This window comes from Homo sapiens, chromosome X, assembly GCF_000001405.40.
Source record: "Homo sapiens chromosome X, GRCh38.p14 Primary Assembly".
NCBI classification, from domain to species: Eukaryota; Metazoa; Chordata; class Mammalia; order Primates; family Hominidae; genus Homo; species Homo sapiens.
Window position 1 is genome coordinate 9148267 of NC_000023.11, and position 12906 is coordinate 9161172.

Consider the following 12906-nt stretch of genomic DNA (forward strand, 5'->3'; position numbering starts at 1 on the left):
CCCGGGTTCAAGCGATTCTCCTGCCTCAGCCTCCCGAGTAGCTGGGATTACAGGCCCTATTAAATATAAGAAGCATTTTGAGCAAATATCACAAGGGTTCTAGATTTATTTACAATTTGTGGTTCTCAACTTGGGGCAATTTTGTCTCCCGGGAGATCTGAGACAATGTCTGAAAACATTTCTGGTTGTCACAATTGGGGAGGGAGGGTTGCTACTGGCATCCAGTGGGGAGAGGCCAGGGATGCTGCCAAACACCCTGCAGTGCACAGGACAGGATCACCCCATCCTCCTGCAGCAAATAAATTAGGGGTCCCAGACGTCAATTATGCTGAAACTGAGAAACCTTGACTTAGAGGAACACCCCAATAATTTAAACATTCATCTCCCTGCCCCCCAAACAAAAAACCATAACTCATAGAAATTTTTCTTATCTATTCGTTCTTTACGTATGTTTTCATTCCTGAATTTGTTTCTGCCTTGAGTCTAATTGGGACTTGCACCGCGGGTTGCTACAGAGCCTCTGGGCACATTCCTTCCTTGTTTTGCTCGGGAAGTTGCTAGGATAGGAGGGAAAGTCTGCTTGTTTATTCCTAGGATAATCGATGGTGCAGTCAGGCCGAGTTCCTGCAGTACAGTTTGGGTATTTTTTTTAAGAGATGAATCAGATTCATGCAATGAAATTGCAGGGTTTTTGTTTTATTTGGGTCATTCTTCAATTTTAAGAGAATATATCTCAGCACAACATCACCTGAACAAAAGAGAACTAGAAGTGAAATCCTTCATTAGGTGATACAGTTGCTCCCTGCCCAAGGAGCTGAGTCCTCAGAGGGAACAGGCCTGGCCTTTAAAGGGCAGAGTTCTTCCCAGATTCACAAAGCAGGAGATAGAGCAGTGCTTCCCAAATGTTGACATGCATCAGAAACCCCTGGAGAGCCTGTGATGGGGCAGATTCCTGAGCTCATGCCTGAGATGCTGACTCATTGGTTCTGGGATGGGGCTAAGCATTGACATTTTGAGCAAGCGCCCAGGGAAGGAGTGCACGTTGAAAAGTAAGCCTCTGTAATATAAAAATGCACATCCTAACACCAATATCACCTGAAGAGACTCATGGCTCATTCTAAGTTGTCTATAGAAGATCCTCATGGTCCCAACCAACTTCTTTCCCATATGTACTTCGGGCTCTGAGTTGCTTCTGTTAAATCAAGTTTAGCCCGAAGCTGCCTCCTTACATATTTTAAGTTCAGCCTAAAGGTTTTTCTGTACAATCGTGAACTATAACCTAAATGGAAGTGTAAACAGACTATAACCTACTCTTGTGCCAATCACCGAGTTTTGGCCAATCACAGGTGACCAACTGTTCAAACCGTGTTCAAATAAGGCAAATGTCTAGCTCTAACCAATCTGGCTGTTTCCATACCTCACTTCTGTTTTCTGTACGTCACTTTCCTTTTTCTGTCTATATATCTTCTTCCATCACGTGGCTGTGCTGGAGTCTCTGAGCCTACTCTGGCTTGGGAGGCTGCCCAATTCACGAATCATTCTTTGCACAATTAAACCCTCTTAAATTGAATTAAGCTACAGTTTTTCTTTTAACACTTCTTCCTGACTCTCCTATTTGGTTTTGTTGCACACCATGCAAAGTGCAATGGAAATTCTGGGGTGGGACAAGGTCAAGGACAGACTTGAGACAAGAAATACAAAGCACATGAGGCAAAGAATGGAGCCCCTGTGAGCATATTTGTCATGGAAACACAACTTTACAATGTGGCAATTCTTGGTTCACTCACTCCAAAAGGAGCATGGCATGGTGCCATCAAATATAAGTATCGGATTAACAACAAACTATGTTTAAGACTACTATGCATGGTGATGGAGTCAAAGAAGTATGAAACTCGACTCTGCCCTTAGGATCTTATCAATGACTTGGAATCCTGGTCCACAATGGGTCCAGGCACAAAACTAAAGGCCAAAGAGCCAGAAAGGTTACAACCCACAGCCTGAAAAAGGAGGAGCACCGTTGTAAGCATTGGTGCCCTTGTGCAACATAGAGACTCACTCCTGAAAAAAGGAACATAAGAGATTTTGAGGTGTTTGTTTTTCTGCAGGCAGCATGGATCCATTTTATCTATAATGTTGCCTTTCATGGAAACCAGTGACTAAAGCAACAATGGAAATATCCACAGCAGAGCAACTTGGAGCAAATGGCACTTGGACAGGGTTTGTCCATGGAAACATCTGACCTCTCTCTGAGCTCCAGAATTGCAGGATTATTATTTCTATGCCCTTAAGTTGTCAAGGGGAAGACCTGCCTATCGGAACATCTGCATAACTCGGAGTTTTACTGAGCAATAGAACATTCTGTACTTCTCAGATCCACATTTACTAGTCTATCCTCAAAAGGACAATGTGAAGATTAATTAATCTAATGTTCATGGAGCACAGAGGAGCTGAAAATGCACCATAGACAGATCTGGCCCTCACTCAGTCAACCCCGTCACACAAATTCAGTTACAGCTGGCTGGGTCTTGAAGCATGGACATGATCCGTATCCCTCCTTTAGAGGGCTTGTCATTGAAATATCTGCCATTTCTCCACTGTCCTTCCTAAATCAGAGATGTAAAGCCTGTGGTTTCTTCAAGGAAGGTTAAGTAACTGGCCTTCATATGTGCTAAATAATGACTTTAGTTTTGAAACTCCAAGGAAGCCAAGAAAGGCTTTCTATCTCTGGCTTGCCAGAGGAATGGTTTTCAAACCCGGTGTGCAACCCTAAAAGTCCTTTGTGATAACTTGGCAGGCTAAAGACCACAGGATATTGGGCCATGGGAGCAGTGTCTGAAGAGCACAAACCACCCGATCACTCTATGGTGGAAACTCTACTCTGGAATGCGGGAGCAGAAGGAAACTATGAAGGCATTGCATGGGCAGTAGGACATGCCAGCCTTCCATCCACCTGGCCCCAGCCATTCCCCATCACATTCCCCTGTCACATAAGAAACAGTGCACCAACTGCTTTTACATTTTAGTCCTTAGATGGCAATTTCTGTGCCTTAACTTTGTCAAGGTCAAGACAAAAAGGAGTGTGGATCAGAGATAGAAGCATTCACTCAGCCTAATAGGAAATAGGATCAGGCATCAGGCAATAACTGAAATGAAAGCAAAATGGATGGTAATAAGTGAAGATGTTTGTGAACTATCCCCAAGAGGAGACACCTTCCTGCTTAATATAAATGGCATATTTCTCCAAAGCACTTGTCTTCTGTGAACCTATAACCAGAGTCCATGAGGTAAAGGGTTTTCTCAAGAGCATATGACCAGTCAACATGGGGACTCGTGAAGGGGAGCCCACCAGACCCCTCCCAATTCCAGACCCCAGTCCCTTTCCATGAACCATGTGGTATGTATGTGTTTATTTATTGCCAACATTGTATAACCCTACCTGAAATAGGCAGAAATGTAAAAATTACACTTCTTTGAATTGACATATCCTAAACCATGTATGCAAACATGAGACCTTAAATAGGAGAGAAGTAAATGATTTCTGTCTTCTCTTTATATTTGGTCTGCAAATTGAGGCAGATACTGTTACAGAAATACCAGGGGTTCAATCTAGGTCCTGTTGTTCACTTGCTCACTGCTCAAAAGCCAATCACTGAGATGACGATTATTGCCAAGGAAGAAGGATTTAATCGGGTGCTACAGCCAAAGAGATGGGAGATCAATCTGAAATCCATCTCCCTGACTAAAACTAGGAGTTTACATAGCAGAGAAGAAATGTAACAATGTGTGAGAAACAGGAACTAGGGAAGGGCAAGGAAGCAATCATGATGAATAAGGGGTGCAGCATCTCACAATGCAGTGATCTGGTGAGTTTCAGTTCTTTTATACTATATTTAGAGATCTGAAGGTTGTTTCCTGAAGGATCTCAGATACAACAAATACAAGTTTCAAGCTTTAAGACCATAAGGGTCCATTTCTTTGTTTATAAAGAAAAAAAAAACTATCTATGGGACTACTGGGTCAGTTTCAGTTGGGGGCACTTGTGCCCCTCTGGAGACATTTGGCAAAGCCTGAAGACATTTTTGGTTGTTACAACTGGGGTGAGGGATGTTCCTAGCATCTACAGAGTGGAGGCCAGGGATGCTGCTAGATGTCCTCCAGTTCATGGGACAGCACTGCCCTTCCCCATCCCTACAAGAAAGAACTACCAAGCCCATGATATCAGGAGAGGCAAGGTTGAGAAAACATGACCTAGACTACATAATTATATCATCAAATCTAAAACAATAATATATAATAAGATTTGCCATTGGACCAATCGAAGAAAAGGTCCATGTGGATTCCTGAACCACACCTTCTCACTAAAATGTTTGCATACTGGCAAAGTGGAAAGATCAATGAATTAAAACAGGGTGTCACACCTGCCAGTCTTTCTCTGCCCCAATTTGCAATCTGCAACATTAGGGCATGCTGAGGTGTTTTCCATTTCAAAATGCCATAAACTACAACTTGATTATTTTTCAAATAATCAGAATATTTTTAACACAAGTAGCTGCTCCCAAATGCTCAGCATTAATGACTAGTTAAGTGTTATACAATGATCATTTCAAAGCATCAGTCTAGTTCCCTGGGTTCATTTGTTTCCATTTTTACTACAATGTTTTTACATAAACTAACATCAGATTTATTTTTCTAAATAGGTAAACTTCAAATATTAATTTCTACTATGTGTTTTGTTTACTAAATCTATATTTCATAAACAGTAAAAGATGATTTATTTGTTTGCAAACCAAACCCCTAGCAGAATGTTACAATGTAATTACTTTTTAATTGTTTAATCTTTATTTTTTATAACACTCATAAGAAATCAAAACTTGTTTCTTATATGTCTAATTTCCACTATTATTTATTGGCTAAAATAATGGAAATGATAAAAAGGTAAGAAAACAATCAATATATCTTTTACTTTCCTACAACTCCCAAAAATACAAGCCTAGATGAGTCAGTAAATCTCCAAATCTTCTATGTACCTAAGTTGCAATTACAAGCCAGTGGCCAGTGAACTTTATTTTTGCTGATTCTGAGTGGCCAGAAGACATTACCTTACAAATCTCCTAGTCACATGGTGCTTGAGAAAGGAATTTTGTACCTTTTATTTGTTTAAAGGCTCTAAGAATGTGTTTTGGGGACATTACAGAACCACAATGATGTCAATGTCTTCCAGCTAAAGACTCACCAGGAAATCACTTGTAGATAATTATGGTTGGGTTGACTGACTCACTGCAAGCAGGAAGAACACACATCCTGGGGGACCATGAGCATCCCAGTAAAAGGTTAGAAAAAGCTCGTTATAGAACACAGGCTTATGTTAGGTGACTTAGGGAAGGATTCAAGAAAGCAGGGCTTTGCTTCTGGCTGGATGCTATCAGAAGGCAGAGGCCATTACCTAATTAGGCATCTTGATACATCTTGTCCAGAAGGCAGGAAGTAAGGCTACAACTATAATTAGTAAAGAAGCAGCAGTTGGGAAAGTGGGAGGTTTGGTCATTTGGGTGGTTTGGACAATGTTCATGTCTCTCCCCACATTCGGATGAGATTATGGAGTGACCTTGTATTTCCTGACCCATCATGGTCATAGAGTAGCCTTGTCTGATGTGAGGGTCCTGTTCAACTGGACAGCATCATGGCCTAGCTGTGAGGGCCAGACTGGCTTCCAGCTGTGAGCCACGTTGTCTTTCTGGATGGTCATCTTCCTCCCGCCTCACCTAAGAGGCAATTCTGTCTGCTGCCATCTAAGTTCGCAAAGAGATTGCTTCTGCTGGCTGGCAACAATCCCTTCTCTCATGCTGGCTGAAAAGAGAAGAGTCTCTCTGGAGGCCTGTGTCATCCAAAGATTCAAACTAAATCCTTAATTTGATTCTTCCCTTCTGAAAGTCTTATTTCTCATCCTCCCCCATTCCCTGAAGTGAGTAGGAACTCACTTGGAGTTAGGTATCATATTTAATGTATTTAACGAGGGCACCAACACCTCAGATTGCATTCCCGTTAGGTGTTAGAGGTTCCCTGATTTGCCTGGCTCAAACTCCTCAGTTGCTGGATTTTAGGGAGGTCCAAGGTACCCAGGGACAAGCCAGGGTTATGGATGGGCACACAGGAGCTAGAAGCAGTGGTTATTTATCAACTCATCCAAAGGTTAGAAAGAGTATGATATTTTTGGAAAATTGAAGTTGAGTTCTATAGTCAACAAGTGGGAAAAAAAAACCTAGGAGCCAGTTTGTGTGTTGCTAGGGTGTTATAAGTTGAATTATTTTCCAGATACTTTCACTCTGTCCCTTTACTTTCTTTTTGTTTTTTAATCTTTTATTTTTTGTAGAGACAGGATCTTGTTGTGTTGCCCAAGCTGGTCTCAAACTCCTAGCCTCCAGCAATCCTCCCACCTCGGCCTCCCAAAGCACTGAGATTACACATGTGAGCCACCATGCACAGCTATCCCTTTACTTTCTTAGGGGAAATATACTTTCCCACCATATTGGAGTTAACCTTGGCTCTATGACTTGCTTTGGCCAATGGGAGGTTAGCGGACATGATATGTAGAGGCTTGAAAGAATAAACGTGTGCTGGCTGGTTCCCAGACTTGTGGATATGCCCAGAGAAATCAGCAGAGCCACCCAAGTGAATCCAAGTTAGATCAGCCAACCCCAACACCACCCCCCATCAACCCACAGACTTGTGCACTGGTAAATGTTCATTATTGTATGCTGCTGAAGTTTTGTGATTGGTTGTTATACAGCAGCAGCTGACTGATACACTAGAGTACCAGACTGCTGATTTATGATTCAGCCAATCACTTGATTATTTCCATCTCTCATCCAAAAATAAATTCCATAGTGTACAGATAGCATGTTTAAGGTCATGGGTACATTGCCCAAAGTTCATCATAAAACAAATAATGTACTGACAAGAGGGGAAAATGAATATGTTAAGGCAATAGGATAAAATAAGGTTATAATTTGAGTGGTCACAAATAGTACTGTCAGAATGCAAAATAAGGTATTTATTCATTTATACATTCATTCAACAATGTTTATTGGTAAGAAAAATACAATGCAACCAATACTGATAAAAACCAGCAAGACAGTCATGGGATAGACATTATCCTATCCTCGTGAGGGTAATAACAGAGGATCTAGAGGTTTGCAGTGAGAATTTCATAAGGATTAAAGAAAAATTAAACTCAATGGATTGGACTCCATGCTCCAGCCCCTTGCTCTTTCCCCACCTTGTGTTCTTATCACTGTGTTTCTTGCAATGACCAATCAGTCTCTACTTCTTCACAGGCTGAGACCAGAGAAAATAAAAAGGGAGAGATTTCTGGTGCCCCAAATTAAATTTGCATGCCCAGAAGTATCCTGAGACTCCAGAAGCACTTCCCAGTGAGAGCTGTGAACATCCTTTTCTTGGAGATATGTAGGCAATGGGTATGAAAATAGCCTTGGGGAAAAGTTTGAAATTCAGTTCTGCCCCATGGAGGTTGGAGAGCAGAACCAAGTAATTGTAAGAGCCTCTGACTCTCTGGTTGGTCTCTGAAAAAATGACTATCCCTGGGCAGGGTTTTGTTTCCCATTTTCAATTCAGCTGGCTCTACATTTGAGGTCATTAATGGATTGTTTAATGTGTATTCCATTGTAGCAGCTAGTCTGCTTTCAGAAATAAGCTAAAATAATCGATTTCTAAAAATATACTTCAAGTCCAATTGCTTTTGGCATATCAGACACAGGCAGCATTTCCTACAGAAAGTTTAGCAAGTGGAATATTTTTGTAGACCCAGACTCAGTTGCAGTCATCACCACACTGACAACCATCTGTATCAGTCTACTTATCCCTTCCCATTTTGTTCAAGGGAAGTGAAAGTGAATGGGCAGAACCCGATGTGTTCCAGGAAAGTAGAAGAGAAAAGTAATGGAGGCATAGATGTTAAAGAAGGCGTCGTGACATGCAAGTTACTCTTTTACTTATATAGTTAATAAGAGTGTACTCACAATTCGTGCAAAAAGAAGCATTAGGAAGCCTACTGAAAAGAAAATTGTCAGTTGGTATCACCACCAACAACTGGACTTAATGGCCTGCTGTTCCCCATGTGATGCCTGCAAGGGATGCAGCTGCGTGTCGGTGGCATGTCTGCCCCAAAAATGTAGAACTGGAACCTAATCCTGGGAAGCCTCAGGCCAGCCCAACTTGAGCGTATTTTTCAAAACACTTGGCCTGTACCTTCTGAAAATGCCAATATTATTAAAGACAAAGAAAACACAAAAACTAAATACAATGTGGATCAGAGAATCCTAAATGGGGGAAAAGTTTTCCATGAAAAATATTCTCAGGAAAATAGGTGAAATCTGAATATCAACTGTATATCTGACAATAGTAATGTATCAGGGAAGGTGGGGAAGGTTAATGGGTACAAAAAAACATAGTTAGAAAGAATAAGACATACTATTGAATGGCACAACAGGTGACTATAGTCAATAATAACTGTACATTTTAAAATAACAGAAAGAGTGAAATTGGATTGATTGATTTTAACTCAAACAATAAATGCTTGAGGGGATGGATACCCAGTTTTCCATGATGTCATTATTTCACATTGCACACCTGTATCAAAACATTTCATGTATTCCATAAATATATACACCTACTATGTACCCACAAATATTAAAAATTTTAAAAAGATTAGACAGTACTATACGATGCTGTGATAAAAAGAGTAATGTATCAATATTAAATTTCTTTCATTTGATAATCATGGTGGGCTTTGGAAATATGCTCTAAAATATTCAGGGGTACAGGTATAATGTCAAAAATTCACTTTCAAAAGGATGGTGGGATGGTTCAGAAAATGCACAGATAACAAGCAAATGGGGCAAAATGTTATCATTTGGCGAATTTGCTGAGGGTTCCTGCGAATACATTCTAGGCCTTTTGTGATTCCTTTATAAGTTTTAGTCTTTCCGAATAAAAAGTTAAGAATTCTTCAGCAAAATTTCTTAATGTTTAAAGGCTGTGGTAGCATAAATTACTAAGAAATCCTTTACTCCACCATCTGATACGTAATCAGATTGAACTTTAACTCTGTTAGCATGAATTTGTGGTAAAAATGGCATTCAAAACAGGAAATTTCCTGACCTAAGAAATAGCTGCTTAACCTTAGCTAGTTGCTCAGTGGAATCCACAATTTGTTAGGATTTACAGAATGACAATACTGATTGTAAATTTGAAAGAATACAATTGAAATAACTAGTGTTATTTTTAAAAAATCAATTGCCATATTCAACCAAAAAGAATAAGATTAGTGGGGGGTGGTCTGACCCCTAGGCAGCTGGAATTTCTTTTTTTTTGCTTTTTTTTTTTGAGACGGAGTCTCGCTCTGTCGCCCAGGCTCCGCCTCCTGGGTTCACACCGTTCTCCAGCAGCTGGAATTTCTAATGTAGCAGAAAATCTTAATGCATGGCCCCAACTTCTTGTCTACACTTGACTTGGCTGCTACAAGATTAGCTCTTTTTTTGTCAAAATGGCTGCATTTTTTAAATAAAGTTGCTTGATTAAATTTATCAACTATTAGCCAAATCAGTATTTTCCAAGTTAGTTTAAAAAAAAAAACTGAATTTTCTGTACATTAAGTCATGACTGGGGGCATTTTTAGAAAAAAATTTTAAAAAATCAAATATATCTTTACAGGAGAAAGGGAACTTTAAGGTCTTTGAAATACATCAATAAATAATTTTTTGGTTCTCATTCTTTAAAACATTTAAACTGATCATATTTGGAAGGAAAACACATACGTGGCAAATAAATTGTAAAGGAGTAGGAATACCTCCTTGAATGGGCCCATCCTTTCGTAGGAATACATAAAATCTTTCTTGTTATTCTTAATGCCAGAAAGCCTGAAAGGCGAATGTTTTGCTGACCTCCAAGAATGGCTAAAGCCAATGCTCAGCAGTAGGCACCAAAACAAGCTTCCGGGGTTGCTGAACGCCGAAGCATGTCGTCTTTCTGCCAACAGTAACCTCCCACACTTTTCTCATCCCTTATGCCATAAACCCACCTCTATCAGGTGCCGGGCTAACTCCTGCTCATTCTTCCAAACTGCTGTATCCTAGAAGTGTCTCCGTAACCCAGAATGCCAGGTGTTCCCTTAGGTCTCCATGCCCCTGAATTCTCCCAGCATAGCACCTGTTAAACACTGGGAAACTGTCTTTGGTCTTTCTTCTCACATGATAATCTCTGACAGCACAGACCCTGTTCTTCTTACTCACCTTTGCACCCCTAATCCCTAGACGGGTGTATACAGCAAAAACTCAGTAAATGTCTGCTGGATGAATGATTTAGACGTCGTAGCCCATCCTTCGTGACACATTGATACTGACCATACTATGTAGGCATTTTCTCTTTCCCCACTTTTTCTCTGTTTAAAAAATATAACTTAGTGTACGCTCTGCTCATGGAGAGTTACAAGTTCAAATCAAACACGTGAGCTCTGACTCAATCTTCACCATCTGCCCATTCATCTGGAGATCATCTGATTTTCTCTGGGATTTTTGTAGTGCAAAAAATGCATTATACGGACCAGAAATAAACTAGAAATTGTAGCTGGCGCATTTTGTGGGTCAGGATATATTTTTTAACATTTAAGGAACATTGTCACCCCATGGGAGACTGACTACTCCAAATTGAAACTCTCAGTTTTATTCAAGCTGGTAACTTTCCTTCTCAGGCTCACCCCTAACAAAGCTCCAGAATAAAATGTTACAGGGTGACTGAATGCTCATTCGTAAGTTAATTGCTTGTAGCAAACCCATGGCTGCCTAATAATACAAATACACTGTACATTTGTCTTTCACCGTTCATTGTGTAAAATTACAGGCAGCTAGACTATGTTTGAGGGACTTGTTTATATAGTGCCATTGCTGAAAATAAGCATTTAATCATAAATCCATTAATCAAAACTAAACCAATGATCCTGCTTTTCTCCAAAAGAATATATCCATTTTCCCAATGCATTACAATAAGTTCAATGAATATTAAACTCACGATGACAGAGATTCTCAGAAAGAGCATTTGGCAGCTCTATTCTTTAAAGTATTTACTGGGACTTTCAATATGATAATCCAACACACTTTGAAAGGAGCTGGCAAGAGGACTGCAACAATCCACTGTGCCTTCCGATCAATAACTAATTCATCACTACCAACTGGCTTCTTCAGAGGACAGAACCAGCTCTGCTGCCCAGGCTGGAATGCAGTGGTGTGACCATGGCTCACTGCAGCCTTGACCTCTCAAGCTCAAGCCATCCTCCCACCTCAGCCTCCTGAGTAGCTGGGACTACAGGCGCATGCCACCACACTTGGTTAATTTTTTAATTATTTGTAGAGATGGGGTCTCGCTATGTTGCCCAGGCTAGTCTTGAACTCTTGGGCTTGAGCAATCCTCCCACCTTGGCCTCCCAAAGTGCTAAGATTACAGGCTTGAGCCACCACACTCAGGCTATCAATGACTTTTAACAAGCACAACAGAAGATAGTTTATCATGATGTCTGTGACTATTCCTTGCAGCAGCACCTCTCATTTGGGAATGTCTGGAGACATCTTTGGTTGCTGTATCCCGGAAGAGCAGTGCTATTGGCATCTAGTGGGTAGATGCCAGAGACGCCGCTAAACATTCTACAATGCACAAGACAGCCCCTTGCCACCACAAAAAATTACCTGGCCCAAATTTCAATAGTGCTGGTGGTTGAGAAGTCCTGCCTTATAGAAGGTTAACAGATGTAATTTCTAGATCTGTACCATTCAATGTGGCAGCCGCTAGCCACATATGGCTATCAAGCCCTTAAAATGTGGCCAGTTCACATTGAGATGTACTCTAAGTAAAAAATACACGCCAGATTTCAGACTTAGTATGAAAAAAGAATGTAGGATACCTTAATATTTGATAATGAAATTTTATATTAAAATAATAGGTTGGATGAAGGGTTATATTATTAAAATTAATTTCATCTCTTCCTTTATACTGTTTTAATGTCTACTACAAAATGTAATATACATATGTGGCTGCCCTGCATTTCCCTCTGGACAATACTAGGCTGGGGGGTTCCTTCTGTTTCCTTGATGATGTGCTGTCTCTATCCATGTAACCCACATTGCGATAAGCAGTTCTCTCAAAGTAAATTTAAATTCAAAAAGCACCCATTAGCTATATTCTTATAGGGTAAATAAAAGTGCCAAGTTATTTAATCAGATCAAAGATACATGAAGTACAAATTAAAGTTTCCCTATTTCTGTTTATTATAAAACCAAGCTGAGATGAAGCAAATGAAGCATGGAGATGCATTTTCCTTTATGCCCAAATGGTAAGGAATTGACCCCTTAGCAAACTGTCCAAGTCGACAAATTCAAAAGCTGGAAGGCAAAGAAACAGGGCTTTCAACAGCAAGCAAATATTATATTTCCAAGGAGAGTCAAGCACAGTATCTTGCTCATTAAAAAGAATAAACCTGAGAAGAGCACAAAAATTAGGCAGATCTGTTAAAATGATTAGTCATCAGACTAGCAACCCTTCTAAACACAGCACAACAGGGGCAGGGCTGGATGGTAGAGAAAAAGCCACAGGTCCTTTCTTAAAGATCCACCTTAAAAGGCAGGACAGACAGTTGAAAACATTACATATTGAAACATGAGAATGAACAGGGATATTCCAAATTCCAAATGAGAGTTCAGAGTCAAAACCAGAATCAGTGAGGTGCCATACTTGGGCATGGAAATAAAGGTAGAACTTAGACCAATAAAAAACCATGTTATGCATAAGACGGAAGTGGGAAGCAGAGTAAGCTAATTCTCAGAGCTGAAATAAGTATGATGC

The 12906-nt window shown here is 40.3% G+C and overlaps 1 annotated feature.

Moving 5' to 3' along the window:
• Window positions 508-1013: an enhancer, noted in NCBI's record as "OCT4-NANOG-H3K27ac-H3K4me1 hESC enhancer chrX:9116815-9117320 (GRCh37/hg19 assembly coordinates)". NCBI's record gives its function as "activates a minimal SCP1, AML or CMV promoter by ChIP-STARR-seq in primed H9 embryonic stem cells {active_cell/tissue: H9 hESC(primed)}" and the evidence as "EXISTENCE:reporter gene assay evidence [ECO:0000049][PMID:30033119]".